Source organism: Homo sapiens, chromosome 22 (genome assembly GCF_000001405.40).
Source record: "Homo sapiens chromosome 22, GRCh38.p14 Primary Assembly".
NCBI lineage: Eukaryota > Metazoa > Chordata > Mammalia > Primates > Hominidae > Homo > Homo sapiens.
The window spans coordinates 24975524-24996520 of NC_000022.11; the positions used below are offsets into that span (position 1 = coordinate 24975524).

At 50.3% G+C, this 20997-nt stretch overlaps 1 protein-coding gene across 5 annotated transcripts in view, besides 1 other annotated feature; it reads left to right on the plus strand.

Moving 5' to 3' along the window:
* Positions 1 to 20997, plus strand: part of KIAA1671 — a 244733-nt gene that overhangs the window by 22808 nt on the left and 200928 nt on the right. The gene's annotated exons all lie outside the window — the stretch shown is intronic.
* Positions 19261 to 19858: an enhancer, noted in NCBI's record as "H3K27ac-H3K4me1 hESC enhancer chr22:25390751-25391348 (GRCh37/hg19 assembly coordinates)". NCBI's record gives its function as "activates a minimal SCP1, AML or CMV promoter by ChIP-STARR-seq in naive H9 embryonic stem cells {active_cell/tissue: H9 hESC(naive)}" and the evidence as "EXISTENCE:reporter gene assay evidence [ECO:0000049][PMID:30033119]".

Here is a 20997-nt window from a genome sequence, read left to right on the forward strand (position 1 = left end):
GCTCAGGCTTCTGAGTTCAAGTGCTGAAATTACAGCTGTGAGCCACTGCGCCTGGCTGTGACCAGTGCTTATTGCTGTCACCTATGTGCTGTACCCATGCACATATTGAAATATATGAAATTGCCATTTTCGTAGGTCAAGAATGGCAGATACCAGAATTTCATAGGGTTCAACCTCAGGAGGATCCCATCAGACAGGCAGTATTGATCTCTTTTTCCAGATGAGAAAACTGAGGCTCAGAGAGGGAATTGACTCCACCAAGGAAATATAGCCAAGGATGGTGCAGAGCGGGGGATCCAAATTCCCTGCCAATTTCATTCTATTCCCCTGGCCTCCCTTTGCACTTGGGGATGCTGCTGACTCACCAGCAGGAGATGAGAGCTTTGGTTAATTTGTCCAGCAGCAGAGATGGGTTTCCCCGCACCATCCACACTCCCCGCCACTATTCAGCGTGGGCTTCCCGTGTGGCTACTGTATGCCTTGTGGGAAGAGGCGGGCATTGGGGTGGGACTGGGAACCGAGTGAGTTTGTGGATTTCTGGTCTCTAGGGCCTCAGACAGCCTGGTCTTCCCACTCCCCACCCGTAGCCAGCGACTGCAGGCGCTTGGCCCTGCTGCAGCTGGGAACACTGAGCCGGGCACATCCCCCTGGGAAGGATTGCTCCACATTCGGCAGTTCCCTGTTTATGGAGCAAGACAGCAGAACCCCCAGGGGTGGGCATTGGATCCCAGCCCTAACAAGGCTGTCTGGATGTTCCTGCCTTTCTTTTGGAAGCTTTCCTTTTTAGAGAGGGAACAAAAGGCTTAGAGAGGATGAATATTTTGCTCAAGGTCATTCAGCCAGCCAGGAGCTGAGCAGGGACACAAATGCTAGGATTTTGCTTCCCAGTTCCTGTTTCTTTCCATCTGAGATCCCTCTCTGCCTACCCCCACCCTTCCTGGGACCCCCTGTTGTTGTGTTGGGGGCAGCATGGGGGTCTGTCCATGTTGGGGTGCGGAAGCCCAGGAGCTGTCTGGGTGAGGCTCGAACACCCACTGGCCACCTGCCAGACTTGGACACTCCCACCTGTGACGCAGAGAGCCCACCGGGCTGGTCGCGACATGAAGATGCTTTCAGCACCCAGCACCCCTGTGGGTGGAGGAACAGGTTTGGGCCCTTTCCCTGCCTGCTCCCCACATGCTGGGGCCCACCCCTAGCTGAGCCCATGGGGGACCTACCTCTGGCTGGGCCTGAGACTGCAGGAGTCTCGTGCAAGAGACGCACTGCCAGGTTGGGGTGCTTGGGCTGGGAAATGCAAGGGTGGAAACTCTGGCTTCCCGGGGACCTGCCAGTCATGAGTGGGACCTGCCAGTCAGGATTCGGACCATGTTATTGGGTCGGGGAGGATAGAGCAAAGCAGGTAGGCTCCCCTGTCCTGTAAGCCTGGGTTTGAGTCCTCTGCTTCACCACTTGCTGCCTGTGAAACGCAGGGGAAGTTCAATCCTCAGTTTCCCTGTCTGTGCAATGGGAACGATATTAATAGTAGAACCATCTCAGAGAGCTGTCATGAGGATTGACCGAGAGGCTGCCTGTGAAGTTCTGAGCCCAGTGCCGGGCATGTTGTCGGCAGCTGTTATTATGATTACTGTCAATGTGCTAATTATACTCACGTTTCCACGATCAGCATCAAACATATCCCTGTGTGTTTACTGGTGACCTTGCAACCTCGGAATTGTGTTTCTTTGAAAAAAGGGAAACTGACAGCGCAATGGAGGCAGGAGATGGATAATGTGACCCTTTAAAGGCCCTTTGTGTCCAGGACTTTTGGATAAAATGTTTGGCCCATGCCTGTTACCATGCGCTGTTGTCTGCTCCCCCAGAGCCTTGATAAACCGGGCTGGAGGCCTGGGTGAGGCTCAGCAGGGATGGTAGGAGGCTTCTTACCCCACAGCTGCCTCCTGGTAGCAGCTGCCAGGTCTGGCCTCATAGAGCCTGTGAGTCCAAACAGAAAGGCCTGAATGTGTCTGAGACCCTCTAACTCTGATTAGCTCAGGAATCCACCTCCCCCAGCCCACCCTGGGGCTCCAAAGGGCCCCACGGGTCTGATGTGCTGACACGCCAGGATCTTGGACTGGCTTCTCGCCCTTAGATTCCCAGGGTTGGGGGTTGAGGGGCAGGGCCTGCTGAAGCCTAGAGAGGGCAGGGCCTTGGCCTACGTCACCCTGCAAGTGGAGACAGAGGTTTTTTGGCTCTGGGCTCTGGGCAGGGACATTTTATTTATTGCTGAGTTGGCCTCTGTCCTCACAGTTTAATTTCTCAGCTTCCCCACATTCGGCACCGTAGTCCTTATTCCATACTCATAAGTGGCTTCTTGTCTTAAACAAACCAAACCAAAACGCTAAAAATGTCCCTGGACCTGCATAGCTTCTTGTGAGTGTCTTTCAGAACCTCAGGGCTCCAGCAGGGTGTGGAGCAGGAAATGATCATGGCCACCACCACCGTAATCATAGCAGTTAACGTATTGAACACATGCTGTGAACTGGGCACTCTGCTAGTCACTTTATACTGGTTAACTCCTTTCATCCCCGCAACAGCCCCAGGAGGCAGGTGATAGGGTTTGGCTCTGTGTCCCCACCCAGATCTCATCTTGAATTGTACTCCTATAATTCCCATGTGTTGTGAGAGGGACCTGGTGGGAGATAATTTGAATCACGGGGGCGGTTTTCCCCATGCTGTTCTTTTGGTAGTGATTAAGTCTCACGAGATCTGATGGTTTTATCAGGTGTTTCTGCTTTTGCCTCTTCCTCATTTTTCTCTTGCTGCTGCCATGTAAGAAGTGCCTTTTGCCTCCTGCCATGACTCTGAGGCCTCCCTAGCCATATGGAACTGTAAATCCAATTAAACCTCTTTTTCTTCCCAGTCTTAGGTATGTCTTTATCAGCAGCATGAAAATGGACTCGTACACCAGGCATTATTACTTTTATACCCATTTTGCAGATGAGGAAACTGAGGCACAGAAGCAAAGTAACTTCAAGGCTACCTAGCTAGCATGTCATAGAACTAGGTTTTGAACTCAGGCAGCTGGATCCCATGCCTGTGCCCTGGTGCCTGACTTGTTTTAAAAACCCCACTTTTAAAAATTGTGAAATATGGATACAGTTTACCATCTTAATCTTTTGTTTTGTTTTGTTTTGTTTTGTTTTGAGAGTCTCACTCTGTCACCCAGGCTGGAATGCAGTGGTGCAATCTTGGCTCACTACAGCCTCCGCCTCCTGGGTTCAAGAGATTCTCCTGCTTCAGCCTCCTGAATAGCTGGGACTACAGGCATGCACCACCATGCCCAGCTAATTTTTGTATTTTTAGTAGAGACGGGGTTTTCACCATGTCGGCCAGGCTGGTCTCAAACTCCTGACCTCAGGTGATGCTCCTGCCTTGGCCTCCCACAGTGCTGGGATTATAGGCATGAGCCACCACACCCAGCCAATCATCTTAATCATTTTTTTTTTTTTTTGAGACAGAGTCTTGCTCTGTTGCCCAGGCTGGAGTGCAGTGGTGCGATCTTGCCTCACTGCAACCTCTGCCTCCAAGGTTCAAGCGATTCTCCTGCCCCAGCCTCCTGAGTAGCTGGGATTACAGGCGCACATCACCATGCCTGGCTAATTTTTGTATTTTTTTTTTTTTTTTTTTTTTTTAGTAGAGATGGGATTTCGCCATGTTTGGCCAGGCTGGTCTTGAACTCCTGACCTCAGGTGATCTGCCTGCCTCGGCCTCCCAATGTGCTGGGATTAGAGGTGTGAGCCACCATGCCCGGGCAACCATCTTAATAATTTATTTTATTTATTTATTTATTTATTTATTTTTTTTTGAGACGGAGTCTCGCTGTTTTGCCCAGGCCGGACTGCAGTGCGGCTATCTCAGCTCACTGCAAGCTCCACCTCCCAGGTTCATGCCATTCTCCTGCCTCAGCCTCCCAAGTAGCTGGGACTACAGACACCTGCCACCGCGCCCGGCTAATTTTTTGTATTTTTAGTAGAGACAGGGTTTCACTGTGTTAGCCAAGATGGTCTCGATCTCCTGACCTTGTGATCCGCCCGCCTCGGCCTCCCAAAGTGCTGGGATTACAGGCGTGAGCCACCGCGCCCGGCCAATAATTTTTAAGTTTACTCCCGTTTGGTGGCATAAGTACATTCACATTGTTGTGCAACTGTTACCACCATCTATCTCCAGAACTCTCTCCGTCCTCCCAGACTGAAACTCTTCTACTCATGAACAACGCCCCATCCCATGCCGCCTCCCCACAACCCCTGGCAACCACTGTTTTATTTTCTTTCTCTATGAATTTGACTACTTTAGGCATCTGATACAAGTGAACCATACAGTATTTGGCCTTTTGTGATTGCATATTTTGCTTAGCAAAATGTCTTCAAGTTCACCTGTGTTGTAGCATGTAAGAATTCCCTTCTCTTTTTTTTTTTTTTCTTGAGACTGTGTCTTGCTCTGTTGCCAGGCTGGAGTGCAGTGGTGCGATCTTAGCTCACTGCAACCTCCACTTCCCAGGTTCAAGCAATTCTCCTGCCTCAGCCTCCTGAATAGCTGAAGAATTCCCTTCTTTTTAAAGGCTGGATGGATAATATTCCATTGTATGGCTAGACCACATTGTTTATTCATTCATTCATCAGTGGATGCTTGACTTGTTTCCACGTTTTAGCTAGTATGAATAAAATGCTGTAAAAATATCAGTTCAAGTCCCTACGTTCAGTTTCTTTGATTTTTTTTTTTTTTTTTTTGAGACGGCGTCTTGCTCTGTCGCCCAGGCTAGGGTACAGTGGCACAATCTTGGCTTACTGCAACCTCCACCTCCCGGATTCAAGCAATTCTCCTGCCTTAGCCTCCTGGGTAGCTGGGATTACAGGCACCCGCCACCACACCAGGCAAATTTTTGTATTTTTAGTAGAGACGGGGTTTCTCCATCTTGGCCAGGCTGATCTCGAACTCCTAACCTCCTGATCCACCCGCCTTGGCCTCCCATAGTGCTAGGATTACAGGCATGAGCCACCGCACCCAGCCCAGTTTCTTTGATTTTATACCCAGAAGTGGAATTGCTGGATGACATGCTAATCCTGTTTTTAACGTTTTAAGAAACAACCATATCATCTTCCACAGTGGCTACACTATTTTATATTCATACCAACAGTGCACAAGTGTTCCAATTTATTCACATCCTTGCCAACACTTGTTGTTATTATTATTTTTTTTTTTTTGAGATGGAGTCTTGCTCTTGTCACCCAGGCTGAAGTGCAGTGGCATGATCTCAGCTCACTGCAACCTCCACCTCCGGAGTTCAAGTGATTCTCCTGCCTCAGCCTCCTGAGTAGCTGGGATTACAGGCATGCGCCATCATGCCTGGATGATTTTTGTATTTTTAGTAGAGACGGGCTTTCACCATGTTGGCCAGGCTGGTCTCAAACTCCTGACCTCAGGTGATCTGCCTGCCTTGGCCTCCCAAAGTGCTGAGATTACAGGCATGAGCCACCATGCCCGGCCAACACTTGTTATTTTCTGTGTGTGTGTGTGTGTGTGTGTGTGTTTTTACTGTATCTATTCTTATGGGTGTGGCTGGCACATTATTTAATTTGTGGGGGATTTGTAGGCTCTGTATTTGTTGGGCCTCTGTGTCTATGTGAGCTGAGGTGCCGGGCAGGGGCTGGTTCCTGTTAGAATGTCGGTCACATCCTGCTGTGTTTTCTGGAAATACTTTGTTCTCCCTCACTGGACTGTGAACTTTCTGAGGATGTACCCTGGTGCCCCCAAGGAGAGCTGGCCTGGGTGAGATGCTGAAGAAATACTTAAGAACCCACTTCTCACTGACCCGGGGCACACCCTGGTGTGTGTCTTTGGTGGGAGAAAGGCTGGAGCCCCGCATCGCATTCTTCCAGGGTGCTCTATACTTCCTAGGGAAGAAGAAGCCCCTGAGTGCCTGAGACATGACTCTTAGCCCTGGATGCTCAGGAGAAACTCCCTGGGGAGCTTCAGAAAAATACAGATGCTGGGGCCACCATCTAGAGACTCAGGCTCAGCTGGTCTGAAGCAGGACCCTTGGGGATCTGTATTCAAAAGGAAAACTCGGCCAGGTGCCTGGCTCATGCCTGTAATCCCAGCGCTTTGGGAGGCCAAGGCGGGAAGATTGCTTGAGCCAGGAGTTCAAGATCAGCCTGGGCAACGTGACGAGACCCCATCTCTACAAAAAATAGAAAAATTAGCTGGGTGTGATGGCATGCTCCTCTAGTTCCAGCTACTTGGGAGACCAAGGTGGAGGACTGCTTGAGCCTGGGAGGTTGAAGCTGCAGCGAGCTGTGATTGCACCACTGCACTCCAGCGTGGGTGACACAGCAAAACTCTGTCTAACATAAAAGGAAAACTCCCCAGGTGATTCTTATGGCACCTGGCCTGGGAGGCATAACCATATATTACTGGATGCTGCCTGAATTACCTGAGGAGAGACATGTGTATATGTGTACATCATGGATAAAGTAAGTGAATGAATGAACAAATGAGTGTAGAGTCCCCCAAGCTCTGTCATCCACGCACCACTTGAGTGATGTTTCCACATCTTTTTACTTCTTATGTTATTATTCCTCTAATTATCTAAAACCACCCCCACCTCATTGTACTCAAATAATTCTATGTATTATTACTGTCAATTGATAACACCAGCGATGCTGGTTATAAGTAGATTACTTAAGAAATACAGGCAAAGGAAATCAAACAGTGTCATCAAGTTCCCACTAAATAAATGCCGCTTTCACTGCAGGTTTTTGGGCTAGAAGTGGCCTTACTCTCTCTTTGCTAAAAAGCGTGATTAGCAAGTGTCGCGGAAGTGTTAAAGACAGGCTGGCACCTCATGGAGACCTTCTCCTGGCTGGAATCACTTTTCTTCCGTGAGTCAGTGCTATTTAATGTCCATTCTCTGGACTGTGTGCCTCCCACACTCATCAATGCAGAGCTAGGGAATGAGGGTGTGTGAGGCAGGAGCCAGGTGGGTGCAGGGTTGTGGGTCTGCATGGGTGAGGGCCTGTTTCTTGAGCGGCCTTTGCTGGTCACTGGCATTTGCCCTGTGGGTGCTGGGGTAACTTGAGTCTAGGGCATCCCTTGCCCCACAGCAGCCCCAGAACCTCAGGAGGACCCAAGAGGCTTTTATCTCCAGGGTCACTGAGCTGGGATGGTCCCTGCCAAGGTCGTGGTGTTGGCTGGGCACAGATCCCAGAGGGCACAGGCCTGGAAGTTGGGAATTGGGAGGGAGAGGGAGCTTCTCCTGCCGGACCCAAGTCCTTGCAGGATGAGTGCCAGCGTCTTGGCTCCTTGAATCACTCATAGGGAGGCCAGTGGCCTGGGTGCTGGTTTCCCTGGCCTGCTTCAACCTGCTGTGTGACCTTGGATGAGTCCCTTGGCCTTTCTGAGCTTCCTTCCAGGCATCTGTTGAATTCATTTGGAAAGTACTCCTCTGACACCTGCTGTGGGCCAGGCTCTGTGCTGGGGGCTACAGGGAACCCTGCAGCTGAGATCCCTTCTCTCTTGGGGTCTGTGGGCTGGAGGGAGAGGCAGACCTGGCAGGAGGGAGAAAGAAGACCAGGATGCTTTGAAGAAAATGGGGGATGAACTTTAGCTGAGCTTCGGCTTGTGCTTTTCTGAGTGCACCTTAACAAATTATCACAATCTGGGTGGTTTCAAAACAACAGCACTGTGTTTTCCGACTTTCTTGAGGCTAATAGTGTCCTCAGAGCCACACTGCTTCAAAGGCTGTAAAAGAGAATCCCTCCTTTCTTCTTCAGCTTCCAGTGGCTTCCGGCAATTGTTGGCGTTTTTTGGCTTCTAGCTGTATGTCTGTGTGTTCTTTTTTTATAAGGACACTAGTCATTGGATTAGGGTCCACCCTAATGCAGAGTGACCTCATTCAGACCTAACTAATTACATCTACAAGGACCCTATTTCCAAAGAAGGTCGCATTCTGAGATTACAGGTGGACCTGAATTTTGGGGAGACAGTTTTTCTCCCATTACACTGAAGAAGGGCCATTAAAGCTCAGACTTAAAGGATGTGTGTATGGTGGGGGGGCGGGGGTGGTTCAAGGTGCGGTTGTTTGAAGCAGAGGGAACAGCTTGCGCTAGGGCTTTCTGGCAGGAGTGCGGCACAGAGGCCTGTGTGACTGTGCGGTGGGGGCTGAAGCTGGGGGTCTGGGGGCCTGGGGTATGGGGCCATGGAAAGGTGTTTGGAATTTTTTTTTTTTTTTTTTTTTGAGACAGAGTTTCACTCTTGTTGCCCAGGCTGGAGTGCAATGGTGCGATCTCGGCTCACCACAACCTCCGCCTCCTGGATTCAAGCAATTCTCCTGCCTCAGCCTCCCAAGTAGCTGGGATTACAGGCATGCACCACCACGCCCAGCTAACTTTGTGTTTTTAGTAGAGATGGGGTGTCTCCATGTTGGTCAGGCTGGTCTCGAACTCCCGACCTCAGGTGATCTGCCCGCCTCGGCCTCCCAAAGTGCTAGGATTACAGGTGTGAGCAACCGCGCCTGGCCGGTGTTTGGATTTAACTCTAAATGCCTCTCAGGGGCTTAAGCAGGGACATTATGTGGTTGCATTCCCTTTTGGAAGAAAGTCACTTAATTAGGAAGGGGCATGACAGTGACTGAGGGTACATGCCTTAAGGGTTACCCCCAAGCACACTGACATCCCTCCAGTGTTCTAAGCCTCAAATCCTTTGCAGATAGGTAGGGCAGTACTTTTATCTCTTGAGGAAATGCAGGCCCAGAGAGGTTAAGCAGTTTTCTTAGGGTCACACAGCTAGGGGAAAGAAAGCTCAAGGCCTCAGCTAACATCTTCAGTCTTGTAAGTTCTCAACACACCTGGAGGCAAAGGACCATCCTCAAATATAGCTGGGTGTCCAGGGCACGGGAAATAGCCCAGGACAGGGAGCACTGATTTTACACCTGTTGGTGAAGGTAATGCATCATCTGCCCAGTCAAGAGACGGTTTAGCTACTGGGCAAGGGATGAGGCAGCTTCAGCAACTTAATAAGCGTGGAATTAATTCCCTTATATGTGTGAGCTGCTGTGAGTCTTCCCATTCAGGACAAAGCTCAGGAGCAGAGGAGAAAAAGCAGGTAAAACTTTGGGAGGCCGAGGTGGGCGGATCATGAGGTCGGGAGATTGAGACCATCCTGGTCAACATGGTGAAACCCCATCTCTACTAAAAATGCAAAAAAATTAGATGGGCTTGGCGGCATGTGCCTGCAACCCCAGCTACTCGGGAAGCTGAGGCAGGAGAATTGCGTGAACCCTGGAGGCGGAGGTTGCGGTGAGCCGAGATCGTGTCATTGCACTCCAGCCTGGCGACAGAGCTAGACTACGTCTCAAAAAAAAAAAAAAAAAAAAAAAAAGCAGGCAAACAGCAATAAACGCTGACCTGTGTCCACCAAGGAGCATGTTGGAGGGTTGTTATAGTATCCTAGGCCCCGGGCCCAGATGAAATGGCAGGATAATTCCAACTGTTCCAGAAGCACGGAGCTGCTGTCTCTCTGATTTTTTGGATATATATTCATGTGGAAAAGAGCTTTCTTCTTATTGGGAAGTAAAAATATATCTCTATTCAGATAAAACATCTCTATTCACATTCCAAACTGGGAACATATCAATTTTCCCACACTGGGATTTAAAACGTAAATTAGGTGCTGTCTCCGAGGTATTGAGGATGCTAATATCCTCCTAAGAGATGGGCTTGTTGGCTGGATCTGAAATTCCCTGTGGAGTGAAAGGCCGTTATTTCCTGCTGTGTTTTGTTTCTTTCTTTTTTTTTTTTCGAGACAGAGTCTCGCTCTGTCACCCAGGCTGGAGTGCAGTGGTGCGATCTCGGCTCACTGCAAGCTCCGCCTCCCGGGTTCACGCCATTCTCCTGCCTCAGCCTCCCGAGTAGCTGGGACTACAGGCGCCCGCCACCGCGCCCGGCTAATTTTTTGTATTTTTAGTAAAGATGGGGTTTCACCGGGTTAGCCAGGATGGTCTCGATCTCCTGAGCTCATTATCCGCCCACCTCGGCCTCCCAAAGTGCTGGGATTACAGGCGTGAGCCAGCGCGCCTAGCCTTTCTGTCTCTTGTTTCTTTAGTTCCCTCTTTGTCTCAGCGCCTTTTGAGGGAGGAAGAGAGGGAGGGAGAGGGGGAGAGAGAGAGAGAGTGTGTGAGTGTGTGTGTGTATGTGTGTGTGTGTGTGTGTGTATGGTGAGGGGAGAGAGAGAGAGAGAGAAACAGAATGAGAGGGAGGAACTACTCTGTTCTCCAACACCAGGAGAAACCTCTCCCTCTGGAATAGCCCCTTCCCATTGAGGATTTTTCTCCAACTGTGTTTTGCGAGGGTTGTGGGGTAACCCTTCGGGAGGAAGCTGAGTCAGTAAGTGCCGATGCTGTCTCCTGACTGCTGGGTTGGGACTTGTGTGCGTGTGTGTGTTATGGGGGATGGGGACGTGTGAAAGACAGGAGTTAAATTTGGTCCCGGATCTGAACATGGGTTTCCTTCCTCTCCTAGTGAAAGGACTTATCTCAGATGAATCACGTCCTCTCTTTAGAGTTCTGGGCTCATGGAATGTCAAGGCCAGTCTGGCGCTCTTGGAGAGGTGCCTGCCCAAGGGATGTCAGATTCTGGTTTGTGACTCTGGAGGGGCGTTTGGCCACCCTAAGGGATGACGCTTGTGGCTTCAACCAGAGCATCTTCCCTATGTAGTCAGTCTTCCCTCGGTATCTGTGGGAGACTGGGTTACGGGATACCAAAATCCCCAGAAGCTCAAATCCCTGATATAAAATGGTGTAGTATTTGCATGTAACCTATACATATCCTCCCAGATGCTTTAAATCAGCTCAAGATTAATTATGATAGTTAATACAATGTAGATACCATGTAAGTAGTTACTATCTACATTGTTTATGGAATATGACAAGAAAAAAAAACTCTGTACCTGTTCAATACTGATGCAACCATCCTTATTTTTTTCCTGAATATTTTCAATCAGTGATTAATTGAATCCATAGATGTAGAACCCATGGATACAGAGAACTGCCTATTCATTTCATTCACCCACCCAACCACCCACCCACCCATCCACCCACCCACCCATCCACCCACCCATCCACCCATCCACCCACCCATCCATCCATCCATCCACCCACCCACCCATCCATCCATCCATCCATCACAAGCTTGATGCACAGCTCTATGCTGGGGGCAGGGCCTCATGGTAATTATCCACCATTTGTTATCTGATCATCTGTCAAGGCCCTGACCCCTTTCAGGCACTAGGGAGCATCCATAGAAATGAAGGACAAAGCCCCTTGCCCTCTGGAGGTCACAGCCTAAAGCAGGGGTCGGCCAGCTTCTCCTGTAGAGGACCAGATAGTAAATATTTTCAGCTTTGCAGGCCATAAGACCTCTGTCACACCTGCTGACCTCCGCCGTTTACTGCACAAGCAGCCCAGACAGGATGTAAACAAGTGGGTGTGGCTGTGGTTTGACTGCAATCACAACTTATGTATAGACACACACATTTGATTTTTATATGATTTTTCATGTGTCATGAAATACTGTTCTTTTGATTTTTTTCCAATGATTTATTTATTATTATTATTATTTTTTTTTTTTTTTCTGAGACAGAGTCTCGCCCTGTTGCCCAGGCTAGAGTGTAGTGGTGCAAACTCGGCTCACTGCAAGCTCTGCCTCCCAGGTTCACGTCATTCTCCTGTCTCAGCCTCTGGAGTAGCTGGGACTACAGGCGCCTGCCACCATGCCCGGCTAATTTTTTGTATTTTTCAGTAGAGACGGGGTTTCACCGTGTTAGCCAGGATGTTCTCGATCTCCTGACCTCGTGATCCACCCGCCTCGGCCTCTCAAAGTGCTGGGATTACAGGTGTGAGCCACTGCGCCTGGCCTATTATTATTTTTTGAGATGGAGTCTCACTCTGTTGCCCAGTCTGGAGTGCCATGGTGTGATCATAGCTCACTGCAGCCTCAAACTCCTGGGCTCAAGTGACCTTCTTTCCTGCCTCAGCCTCCTGAGTAACTGAGACTACAGGCACATGCCACCACACCTGGCTAATTATTTTATTTTTTGTAGAGGTGGGGTCTTGCTGTATTGCCCAGCCTGGCCCTAAGCAATGCTCCCACCTCAACCTCCAGAGTAGCAGGGATTACAGGTGTGCACCACCAATCCTGGCTAAATGACAGCTAGTCTGATAGACTCCTGCTAGATTGGGCATATTATGTCTGCTTTGCAATTGAGGATACTGAGACATGGGGAAGGAGAATGACTTTCTGAAGTAGAACCTGGATTTGAGCCCAGCCTTGTAGTCTCTGACCCCTGTCATGTCTGCCTTCTCTCCACACATCTCCAGAGCTCTCTGCCCTGCAGGGGGTCCATCTGCAGCATCACAGGACTGTCAAGACTCCTGCCTGGGCGGGGCACGGTGGTTCACGCCTGTAATCCCAGCACTTTGGGAGGCCGAGGCGGGTGGATCACCTGAGGTCAAGAGTTCGAGACCAGCTTGGCTAACATGGTGAAACCCCGTTTCTACTAAAAATATATTTTAAAAATAGCTGTGTGTTATGGCGTGCATCTGTAATCCCAGCTACTTGGGAGGCTGAGGCAGGAGAATCACTTGAATCTGGGAGTTGGAGGTTGCAGTGAGCCGAGATCGCGCCATTGCACTCCAGCTTGGGCAACAAGAGTGAAACTCCATCTCAAAAAAAAAAAAAAAAAGACTCCTGCCTGGATCTCAGCCCCCCAAACTGGGAGCACTTGTTATTTTTAGGGTATCTCTATTCTGACCCCCGCTCAGTGGGAAGGATTCCCATTTTTGCTTCATATGATCCTTTGGGTAGAAAATCACTATTTATGTTAGTTCTTCAAAAATGGGTTTGGGGCTGGGTGTGGTGGTCATGCCTGTAATCCTAACACTTTGGGAGACTGAGGTGGATGGATCACTTGAGGTCAGGAGTTCAAGACCAGCCACATGGTGAAACCCCATCTCTACTAAAAAATACAAAAATTAGCCAGGCATGGTGGCTAGTGCCTGTAATCCCAGCTACTTGGGAGGCTGAGGCAAGAGAATCTCTTGAACCTGGGAAGTGAAGATTGCTATGAGACAAGATGACACCACTGCACTCCAGCCTGGGTGAAAGAGCGAGACTCCATCTCAAAAAAAAAAAAAAAAAAAATGGGTTTGGGTGGTTTATCTCATCTGAGAATTGTGGTCCGGTGTCAGACCCAAAGATGGGGAGGGAATGGGGCAGGGAGCTACTGAACACCAGGTACTGTGCTGGAGTTTTCAGTGTCCATCTGGGTTTGGTATCTTCCCCATCTCACAGTTGGAAAAACTGAGGCTCAAAGAGGAGCACTGACTTGTCCAAGGTCATGCAACTAGTGATTATGGAGCTGGGATTGGAATCCAGGTCTCTGACTCCCTGTACTTTGTGCTGGTGTTGAACTCCCAGGCCCAGTACACTCACCACTTCTTCGTGGAGGGAGTTTTGAATCAATCTTTTTTCAAGGTCCCTTTGGTTCTGGTTTCCCCTGGTTTCATGTCGAGGGTGAGTAGGAAGGGGTGTTCATTGTCTTCCTCTCACCCTTGTGTTCAAAGCCACATTGTCCCTTCTCTTGGTCCCCACTGTCACTGAATTCATCTTGGCCACCCCGTCTCCCACCTGGAGGATGGCAGGAGTATCCTGCCCCAGCTCCAGGCTTCCACCTTTGCCATTTAGTTTATTCCCCACTGGGTGCCTGGTGTGCTTGCAGGGGGGTCACAGCCCTGCTGACAGCCTCCTCTTCATTGAGGTCTCAGCTCACATGGCACCTCCTCAGAGAGCCCTCCCCATCCCCTCATCTAGAGTTGCTGCCCCTCCACCCTGACTTCTTATAACCCTTGCTCTATCGCCTTCATAGCCCTGGTCAACTCTGAGCTCAGTCTCTTCACTGCTGTAACAAGGGAGCTAGGGCTGCATGGTCTCTAAGATGAAAATTCTGAACTCCTAAGCCCTGGGAATTTAGGGCTGGTCAGGGCTCAGGGGGGATGCACTGGCCCAAGGCAAGAGTGTGGGAGGAGGGCTGACCCTGAGCCACAGGAAAGGGAGAGTCCCTGGGTGGGGAAGAAACTATTTGGGATGAGTTCCCAAAGCTTAGCAAGAGCTCAAGAGCCCCTTTCCCCACCACTCCCCAAGAAAACACGCACTATTGTCTTAGCTGCAATTTTGGTGCCGGGAGGGTGTGCGGGGTGAATGTCCGCCCGGCAAAGGGACTTCTGCCAAAGGGACTCTTGTTTATTTGAGATTTGAACAAAAAAAGGCTGTCCTCTTAAAACCACAGCCCCAGAAACCTTGTTGGGTTTTGGGATCAAGGCAGAAGATGGTAGAGAGCTTTTTCTAGCTCTTTGTTAAACATTAAAAACATATTCTTTTGATAGAACATTATGAGCACCAGACGGCAGGAAAAGGAATATTCAGAAGCCCATCATCATTGGGGAAGCACAATGAAATTTTGGCAAGGTGATTTATTTTTTATTTTTTTATTTTTTTAGACAGAGTCTTGCTCTTGTCACCCAGGCTGGAGTGAGTTGGTGTGATCTCAGCTCGCTGCAACCTCTGCCTCCCGAGTTCAAGTGATTCTCCTGCCTCAGCCTCCCAAGTAGCTGGGATTACAGGCACCCGCCATCATCCCTGGCTAATTTTTTTATTTTTAGTAGAGACAGGGTTTCACTCTGTTGGCCATGCTGGTCTCGAACTCATGACCTCAGGTAATCCGCCTGCCTCGGCCTCCAGAAGTGGTAGGATTAAAGGTGTGAGCCACCTTGCCTGGCCTGTTTACTGTCATGTGTGTTCCTCCCTACATGACTCAGTACCTCCAAACATACACATATATCTCACACCCACCCTACCTCCTGGAAACATGTTCCCTGGCCCCACACACACCATGCACACACCATGCTCACACACATGTGCCTGCCCAATGTGCGCCCACGCCAGCAGCAGCCCTGGGTGGTGGTATGAGGTTTGGGCTGCAGAACCACCACCTCCAACCCAGCGCTGACATGGACAGGCCACCTCTGGAGCGTCACCATGTGGGACACAGCAGGCACCTGCTCACGTCCTGGCCTTGCCCTTCCTTGAAGGGTGGAGCAACCATGGTCCTCTGGTGACCCTACCTTGCGGGTGGGCAGCTTCATGCTGGTCTTGGATTCCTGCCAGAGGCTGGAGGCCTGGTCTTCCCTCCTCATTTGTAGGAAGGGCTCAGGGCTCGGTGGGTAAGCCAGACACTGAGCTAGGTCCTTCTTGCCCAGCTGGGGAAACCGAGGCTCGGGTGCCACAGCGGAGGTCACAAGCCAGGACCAAAGGCTTCTGCTTGACCACACTGTCCCACCCCTGGCCCAGGGCTGGCCAAGCAGCTCCAGTCACCCAGGCCTTCTCTGAGGAAGGGACCCTTTCTTCTTTAATTTTATTTTTATTTTTTTGAGGAGTCTCACTCCGTTGTCCAGGCTGGAGTGCAGTAGCTTGATCTCAAGTCACTGCAACCTCCGCCTTCCGGGTTCAAGCGATTATCCTGCCTCAGCCTCCTGAGTAGCTGGGACTACAGGCACACACCACCATGCCCAGCTAATTTTTTTTGTATTTTTAGTAGAGACGGGGTTTCACCATGCTGGTCAGGCTGGTCACGAACTCCTGACTTCAAGTGATCCACCCACTTCGGCCTCCCAAAGTGCTGGGATTACAGGCATGAGCCACCATGCCCAGCCCCTTTCTTCCTTATTTTTAGGAATGTCCCCTCTTTTTCTCCCAGTCCAGCAGGGCAGATCAGCTTTGTGGCTCTGGAATTGACAAGATGAGTCACCTTGGACAGACAGTTCATCTCTTTAAGCCTCAGTTTCCTCCTTTCTTGTTTGTTTGTTTTTTTGAGACAGAGTCTTGCTTTGTCCCCAGGCTGGAGTGGCAGGATCTCGGCTCACTGCAAGCTGTACCTCTGGGGTTCAAGCGATTCTCCTGCCTCAGCCTCCCGAGTAGCTGGGACTACAGGCACGTGCCACCACGCCCGGCTAATTTTTTTTTTTTTTTTTTTAGTAGAGACAGGGTTTTACCGTGTTAGCCAGGATGGTCACGATCTCCTGACCTCGTGATCCGCCTGCCTCAGCCTCCCAAAGTGCTGGGATTGCAGGTGTGAGCCACTGTGCCTGGCCCAGTTTCCTCCTTTCTGACGTGGGGAGAATAATAATCCCCATAGTCACTGAGTAATTGCGAGGGATCATGGCCATAATCTCCATTCAGAGTTTATTTTAGAGCCGGGGATGAGTGTAAATAAGCGTGGCGTGTGTGCTTGTTTTCTTGTTTGAGTTGTTATTTCCTCTGGTGTGGGGAGGTTGGGGACTGGGCTTTGCTCTGTCCCCTCCGGTCTCTTCCCATCCCCTCCTTGGCACAGCCACATCAGCATTTTGGGCCTGGGACACCCCTCCTCCCATTTACAGAGCGGGCAGGACATGACTCATGCCTACACTGGCAGACACCGCCCTTGGCATAACTGGCTGCGCCTGAAGCTAATGTCCTAAGAGATTGTCTCTGGGGCTTAGGGATTTTCCTTCGGGTAATTGGGACGGAGGATGGAGTTTGGACCCTGTAGGAGCAGAGTTACCCTAAAGAGCTGGATTCCTTTAGGATGTCCATGCCTAGGGCTCTGGCAGGAGACAGGAGTCTTAACTTTCAGGGTTCACATGGTGACTGGTAGGCTCCGGGCTTTTACTGGGGGACAGGGTCTCAGATGGAGGGAATGTACTTACCGTGTGCCTGTAAAATTTTGTCTCTCTTTGCCATTCCTGACTTCTGTAAACATTGGATTTCTTCCCCTGCCTGACTGAACACTGGCCCTGTCTTGTTCACACCTGTATCTCTGGCTCCTAGTACAGTGCCTGGCACATAGTAGGAGACTGGTAAAAGTTTGATCAATAAATGAACAATGGCCAGGCGTGGTGGCTCACTCCTGTAATCCCAGCACTTTGGGAGGCTGAGGTGGGCGGATCACTTGAGGTCAGGAGTTCGAGACCAGCTTGGCCAACATGGTGAAACCCCCTCTCTACTAAAAATACAAAAATTAGGCGGGTGTGGTGGTGCATGCCTATAGTCCCAGCTACTCAGGAGACTGAGGCAGGAGAATTGCTTGAACCCGGGAGGCGGAGGTTGCAGTGAGCCAAGATCACGCCATTGCACTCCAGCCTAGGTGACAGAGCGAGACTCCGTCTCAAAAAAAAAAAAAAAAAAAAAAAAGACAATGCCAAGTGCTTTTTGATGTATATTCTTAGCAAATCTCTCAGCTACTATTCAAAGCAGATAGGTTTAACCCATCTGAGAGGTGGGGAAACTGAGGTTTGGGAAGTTAAGAAACTTACCCATGCTCATAGAGGTAGGATTTGAATTTGAGTCTGCGCACTGTGGACTACCAACCAAAGCTGTCTCCTGACTCAGACTCCCAGTTGCCAGGTGCTGATCTCGAAGCCGCCCTCTCTGCCTTTCCCTCTAATCTGCCTTGAAGCCAGCAGTTATCACCTGGATGCACCAGACGGAGGATGCTGACATGTGAGATGCTGTCCCCCCACCGGGAGTGGGAGACTCAGTGAGGCTCCTGGCAGGCAGGCGGTAACTCCACCCTCTCCCACTCAGGAAAGCAGGTTGGAGTGCTAGGGAGGCAGGGTGAGGAAGGTGATTCTGGGAGAGCCCCAGACACACTCTCATAGATGGCCTCAGAGTCCTGCAAGACCCTGTCCGTTGTCTTCTCTCCAAAGTCAGCCCATGATACTTCCCTTCACTCTACTCCAGCTGTGCAAGCAGAAATTTCTGTTCCTTCCATGCCCCAAGCTCTTTTCTGACTCTAGACCTCATGGCTTTCCCTTGGCCGGCTCCCTCTGACTGTAGGTCATTCAGCTGATAGGTCACCTCCTCCAGGAATCCTTCCTGATCACCCAATTTGTGCAGCCCAGCTGCTATTCACATCACAAACCCTGTTCCCATCACCTCCCTTGTCACATGCTACTGTCTTTGTCTTGGTGCATGGCTTATCCATTGCCTGTCTTTTCCACCTTCCACCTGCTCTAAACTCCACGTAAACAGGAAATTGTGAGTTTATCCACATTGCTCTATCACCAAACATGGAGTATGGCACATAATAGGTCAATATCATCTTTTGGAAAAATTGGAAAAAGAGCAACTTTTAAAAATTCAGCAAGTGCAGCCGGGTATGGTGGCTCTCGCTTGTAATCCCAGCACTTTGGGAGCCAAGGCAGTTGGATCACTTGAGGTCAGGAGTTCGAGACCAGCCTGGCCAACATGGTGAAACCCTGTCTCTGCTACAAATACAAAAAAATTAGCCGGGCATGGTAGAGGGCGCCTGTAATCCCAGCTACTCAGGAGACTGAGGCAGGAGAATCGCTTGAACCCAGCAGGTGGAGGTTGCAGTGAGCCAAGATCACGCCATTGCACTCCAACCTAGGCAACAAGAACAAAACTCCCGTCTCAGAAGAGAAAAAAAAAAATTCAGCAAGTGCAAGTGTTACAACCTCATCATCTTGGTAGTCAGTGGTTTGCTGACACATTTCAAAATGGGGTGTGTCTCCCCACTGTGTCACGACACCTTAGGAGGGAACTTGTTTTCCAAGCCAGTCCTTCTATTGTGAGTCAGTGATTCTAGGAAAGAGTGGTGTCATAGGTTGGGTTCCCCCAGAAGCAGAGCCTAAGTCAAGGGTGCAAAGGCAAGCAGTTTATTTGGGTGGCAGTGTACCATTAGGGTGAGATAAGGAGCAGGTTACCTTGGGGAACAGCTGGGGCTCAGCTGTGCTGGGGACCTCTGGGAGCCTATAGAACATGCCATTAAATTATCCGACTTGAGTGCTAGGTAGCTGGGGTATTTATCCCCCAGCAACAGAAAGTTATCCACTAGTGCTGAGAGGATTTGGGTGGAGTCCAACAGTGTTTGGTATGACAGAGTAGGCTCTTCCCAGGCACCCTGTGGTGCCTGGGGTGGCACACCTCTTGTGAGGACCTGGCTGGCTCCAGCAGGCAGAGGGCGACCGTGGCTCAGGTGAACCAGCGCATGAGGTCAGAGGCTCTGACAAAGGAGTGGCTTCCCTGTTCCTGCTTCTGCCTGAGATCCAGGGCTGTTTGCAGAAAGGCGACTCTTTAGGCATGTAAGGATCTCTGAGCCCAGAGAGGTCATTTTCTTGGGGTCCCCTTTTAAGAATGAACTGTATCATCGTCAGAGCTGTTGTATCCTGAGCACCTGCTGTATACACTTTCCAGGCCTCTTTGCTTCCTTGCATCTTTTGGGATGGAGTTGGGGCGAGGGGTCCACTCTATCCCCTTGGGATGGGAGACAAGGCCTGTTCCTCCTCCTGCTTTCCAGCCACGTTCCTGCATTTGTGCAGAAGCTGTGCAGCCTAACTCCAGGCTCCTGCCTCATCCCGTCTCTGTTTGTATGTTAGGTTTTTTTTTTTTTTTTTAATTTGAGACAGAATCTCGCTCTCTCACCCAGGCTGGAGTGCAGTGGCGCGATCTCAGCTCACTGCAAGCTCCGCCTCCCGGGTTCACGCCATTCTCCTGCCTCAGCCTCCTGAGTAGCTGGGACTACAAGTGCCCGCCACCATGCCTGGCTAATTTTTTGTATTTTTTTAGTAGAGACAGGGTTTCGCCATGTTAGCCAGGATGGTCTCGATCTCCTGACCTCGTGATCTGCCCACCTTGGCCTCCCAAAGTGCTGGGATTATAGGCGTGAGCCACTGCGCCCGGCCAAGGTTTTTTTTTTTTTTCTTGGCAGGGGCAGGGTCTCACTCTCGCCCAGGCTGGAGTGCAGTGGTGCAGTCATGACTCACTGCAGCCTCAACCTCCCTGGCTCAAGCGATCCTCCTACCTCAGCCTCCCTAGTAGTTGGGACTACAGGCAGGAGCTACCATGTCTGGCTAATCGTTTTTGTATTCTCTGTAGAGACTGGGTTTCGCCACGTTGCCCAGGATGGTCTCCAACTCCTGAGCTCAAGCAGTCCACTGCCTTGGCCTCCCAAAGTGCTGGGATTATAGGCATGAGCCACCATGCCCACCCCCAGTCTCTTTCAATGATTAATAATAATACGGTTATGAGGACAATTACTGATGTAGGTGTTGACCATTGGCATTATGCTAAGCACTTCATGTATGTGATCTCATTTAATCCTCACAAAAGCATGTGAAGTACCTACCCTTGCTTCCATTTTATAGATGAGGAAGATGAGGCTCAGAGAGGTAGAGTGAGTTGCCCAAGGTCACACAGCTAGTACAGATGGAGATGACTGGCTCTGGAAGTCCCTGTTCTGAACAGTTGTACAGAGGGATACAGACAAGGGGAGGAGACTGGGGGCACCCAGCTGCTACTCCTGCATGTCATCCCCTGACCACAGTGTCCTCTGAACTAACTGGTGATTATGCTGGATAAAATTGGCATCTGGGAGAAGTGAGGGCAGGTGGTGTTCATCTGAATGCAGGAGAGTGTAGAGTGTTTTCTCTAACAAGGCTAGGTAAGTCATCTTCAGGGGAGGGGCTTACAAGGACTCATTGGGGAAGCGACCCCTGTGTATGCAGGTGGCTATGCTAAGAGCTGGTGATAGAGCAGGGTGTCTCGGTGGAGGGCTCCCTCTCGGACTCAGAGGCACATTTTAGAGCTTCATTGCTGGTGGCTGAAAAGCACAGCTTAGGTCCTTCTGTGTATCTTATAGAGATGAAAGTAAAGGGCATCGGGAACCAGCGAGGAGACCCTCCCCACATGTGCACTCACACGAGCCTTATGGATTACACGTTTCCTTACAGCATGGCCCCTGGGTTGGCCACTGGAATTGCCATTCCTTTTCAGACTTAGCTTTGGGAGGCAGTGTGTCAGCCTGGAGTGCGGGCGAGTACTTGAAAGCCTTAAGTTCTGTCTTATGTTGGGT